General features: G+C 45.7%; 1 pseudogene; it reads right to left on the bottom strand.

The window, feature by feature from the left end:
• On the bottom strand, positions 1,601–2,084 carry RPL26P13 (ribosomal protein L26 pseudogene 13; annotated as a pseudogene).

Here is a 4,210-nt window from a genome sequence, read left to right as displayed (position 1 = left end):
TCATGCCTTCTCAACAGTCCCCTAAAGTCTTTTTTTTTTTTTGAGATGGAGTCTCGCTCTGTCACCCAGGCTGGAGTGCAGTGGCGCAATCTCAGCTCACTGCAAGCTCTGCCTTCCGGGTTCATGCCATTCTCCTGCCTCAGCCTCCTGAGTAGCTGGGACTACAGGCGCCCACCACCACATCTGGCTAAGTTTTTGTATTTTTAGTAGAGACGGGGTTTCACTATGTTAGCTGGGTTGGTCTCGATTTCCTAACCTCGTGATCTGCCCGCCTCAGCCTCCCAAAGTGCTGGGATTACAGGCTTGAGCCACCGCACCCGGCTGTCCCTAAAGTCTTAACTCATTTCAGCATTAACTCAAAAGTCCACAGTCCAAAATCTCATCTGAGACAAGGCAAGTCCCTTCCACATATGAGGCTGTAAAATCAAAAGCAAGTTAGTTACTTCCTAGATACAATGGGGGTACACGAATTGGGTAAATATAGCCATTTTGAATGGAGTAAATTAGTCAAAACAGAGGGACTACAGGCCCCATGCAAGTCTGAAATCCAGCAGGGCAGTCAAATCTTAAAATTCCAAAATGATCTCCTTTGACTCCATGTCTCCTATCCAGGTCATGCTGATGCAAGAGGTGGGCTCCCACGGCCTTGGACAGCTCCACCCCTGTGGCTTTGCAGGTATAGCCCCTCTCCTGGCGGCTTTCACTGGCTGGCATTGAGTGTCTGCGGCTTTTCCAGGTGCACGGTGCAAGCTGTTAGTAGATCTAACATTCTGGGGTCTGAAGGATGGTGGCCTTCTTCTCACAGCTCCACTAGGTGGTGCCCCCAGTAGGGACTCTGTGTGGGGGCTCTGATCCCACATTTCTCTTCTGTGCTACCCTAGCAGAGGTTCTCCATGAGGGCCCTGTCCCTGCAGCAAACTTCTGCCTAAGCGCCCAGGCATTCTCATACATCCTCTGACATCTAGGCAAAGGTTAAAAAAAAAAAAAAAAAAAAAAAAGGCCAGGCGTGGTGGCTCATGCCTGTAATCCCAGCACTTTGGGAGGCCAAGGTGGGTGGATCACCTGAGGTCGGGAGTTCAAGACCAGCCTGACCAACATGGAGAAACCCCATCTCTACTAAAAATACAAAATTAGCTGGGCATGGTGGCTCATGCCTGTAATCCCAGCTACTCGGGAGGCTGAGGCAGGAGAATCACTTGAACCTGGAAGGTGGAGGTTGCGGTGAGCCAAAATCGAGCCACTGCACTCTAGCCTGGGCAACAAGAGCGAAACTGCGTCTCAAAAAAAAAAAAAAAGGTAAAATAATAATAGCAACAAAAACAAATCTTTCACGCCTATAATCCCAGCACTTTGGGAGGCTGAGGTGGGCCAATCACGAGGAGAGGAGATCGAGACCATCCTGGCTAACATGGTGAAACCCCGTCTCTACTAAAAAATACAAAAAATTAGCCGGGCGTGGTGGCGGGCGCCTGTAGTCCCAGCTACTCGGGAGGCTGAGGCAGGAGAATGGCGTGAACCCAGGAGGCGGAGCTTGCAGTGAGCCGAGATCGCGCCACTGCACTCCAGCCTGGGTGACAGAGCGAGACTCCGTCTCAGAAAATAAAAAAGATTATTTTATTCCTGCACCTTCCCTATTGTTTCTTTCTTGTATTTGCCATTTTCCTTTCCTACTTGGCGAGATTTGGCTTTCCGTTCAAGGATCTTTTTGTGGCCTTTGTCAAGTTTTAGTCTAGTGATAACCACCTTGCTGGGTGAATGCCCACAGGGACAGCTATGCTGTTAGCCTTTTCCCACTGCACCCGTTCAATGTAGATGGCATATTTCTTCCTGTAAACCTGGATTATTTGGCCAATTTGCTGACCCTTACAGTGTCCTCGCGCAACCTGAACTTCGTCATCCTTTTGGATGGTCTTCGATCGAACATTGTACTTTTGTCTCAGCTCTTTGGAAAGAGGGGAAGACATAATCTTTCTGCGAGTGTGGGAAGGTGCATTGAAATGCCTTTTGCAGTTCTTGCTTCGGTCAGAAGTCACAAAGGGATTGTACTTCATTTTGGCTGCTCCACCTTTGGTGATGGCTGCAAAGGTTTAATAAATCTTATTTATGGGAAGGTATAGTGGGTTGAATGGTGGCCCCCCCAAAAGGTATGTCTACATCCCAACCCCCAGAACCTGTAAATGTGAGCTTATTTGGAAAAGAATCTTTGTAGATGTAATTAAGGATCTCAAGAGGAGATCATCCTGGATTACCTGGATTACCTAGGGGAAGAGAAAAGCAGAGGCAGATTTGAGACAGGTACAGAGAAGGCCATGGGAAGGTGGAGGCAGAGATTGAAGTTGTCCAACCAAGGAACGCCTGGAGCCACCAGAAGCTGGAAGCAGCAGGGAAGGATTCTCCCGGGAGCCTTCAGAGGGAGCATGGCCCCACCTATCCCTTCACTTCGGACTTCTAGACTCCAGGACTGAGAGAGGCTATATTCTGTTTGAAGCCATCAGGTCTGTGGCACTCCACCACAGCAGCTGCAGGAAAGGAGAAGAGAAGGGCTCAGTGGAGCCACGCTGTAGCTGTGAGCAGTGACTCAGATTGACTGGAAAAGGAGGATGTTTGGTCATTTCGGACAAGTTCCTGGTTCTGTTTTTGTTTGGTTCATCACAGTCACAGGGTGGCCTTGTCTGATGTGGATGTTCTGTGACATTACGTTCAGCAGGAAACTATGAAGTCCAGCTGTGTGCCAGGCCAGCTCCTGGAAGAACCAAGGCCTGGCTGGGCATCTGGGGCTGCCTTTCTTTCTCTCATATGTGAAGCTGGGTGTTCTTTATGGACTTCAACCAAAACAACACATCCCGACAGACTGAATGCAGACGCTATGAGAATCCAGCTCTTTTCTATTCAGCCAGATGTTAAAAAGATTTGTCAAAATGTAAAACAATGCCATTTTCTCCCCCATCCCTTTTTTTTTAAAATGGCATTTTTTTTCCACAAAAATTTTGTTTATGAGAACATGTAATGGGTTTTTAATTATTGTTATTTTATTTTATATTTTCTATTTTTTGTAGAGACAGGGTCTTACTACGTTCCCATGCTGGTCTTGAACTTCTGGCCTCAAATGATCCTCCTACCTTGGCCTCCCAAAGTGTTGGGATTATAGACATGAGCCACCTGGCCTATTGTTATTTTTAAATTTATTTAATATGTTCATAGATAAAACATCTTTCAGTTTTAATTTCTAATATAGTAAATATTGGTAAATATAACCCGAATAAACACAAGCTCATTGAGTCCTCAGTAATTTTAAGTGTGTAAATATAACTTATACATATAATATTTAAGTATGTTCAGGGGTTCAGAGACCAAAAATTTTCAGTACTACTTACCTAGTTCACTGTCAATCTTTGTAAATGCATGCGTGCTTGTCTACTTATTGGAGACGGTGTTCTATATTTGTCCACTAGATCAAGCTTGCTAAATATGTTCTCATCATCTATATCTTTTTTTTTTTTTTTTGAGACGGAGTCTTGCTCTGTTGCCCCGGCTCACTGCAACCTTCACCTCCCGGGTTCAAGTGACTTTCCTGCCTCAGCCTCCCGAGTAGCTGGGTGCATGCCACCATGCCTAGCTAATTTTTATATTTTTAGTAGTGATGGGGTTTTGCCATGTTGGCCAGGCTGGTCTTGAACTCCTGGCCTCAAGTGATCTGCCCATTTTGGCCTCCCAAAGTGCTGGAATTACAGGCATGAGCCACCATGCCTTTACATGTTTTCAACACATTTAATTAAGCCAGATTGTGTGGCTTACTCCCTGTGTAACCTAGGGCAATTTACTAATTCCCTCAGGACCTTGTTTTTCTCATTCATTATCTACTGATAATAATAGTGCTATCTTGTAAAGTAGTTATCAATAAATATTTGCTATTGTTATCTTCACTAGCAGTGTTTAGTGTAGGAGCAACAAAAAGGGACAATGGTTGGATTTATACAGTTGGGGTTTTGACTGGGCAACAGGGAAGAAAGATAAGTGGGTAAGGATATTGAGGAGCTCAGAAAAATAATAGTGGGAGTGTAGGTTGGATAGGAAAAGAAGTGGAAGGCTGAGCTGTGAGGAGCAAATGCAGTGGAAGCTTAGTGAGAGGCAGGAGATAGTATGGGGAATGGGGACTGAGTAAACTGGAGAGACAATTACTAGGGCCCATGTGAGGTCCAATGTGAGATCC

The sequence above is a fragment of the Homo sapiens genome, chromosome 2 (genome assembly GCF_000001405.40).
Source record: "Homo sapiens chromosome 2, GRCh38.p14 Primary Assembly".
Lineage (NCBI taxonomy): Eukaryota > Metazoa > Chordata > Mammalia > Primates > Hominidae > Homo > Homo sapiens.
Note: the sequence above shows the minus strand (reverse complement) of the source record. Positions and strands in the feature narration are given on the sequence as shown.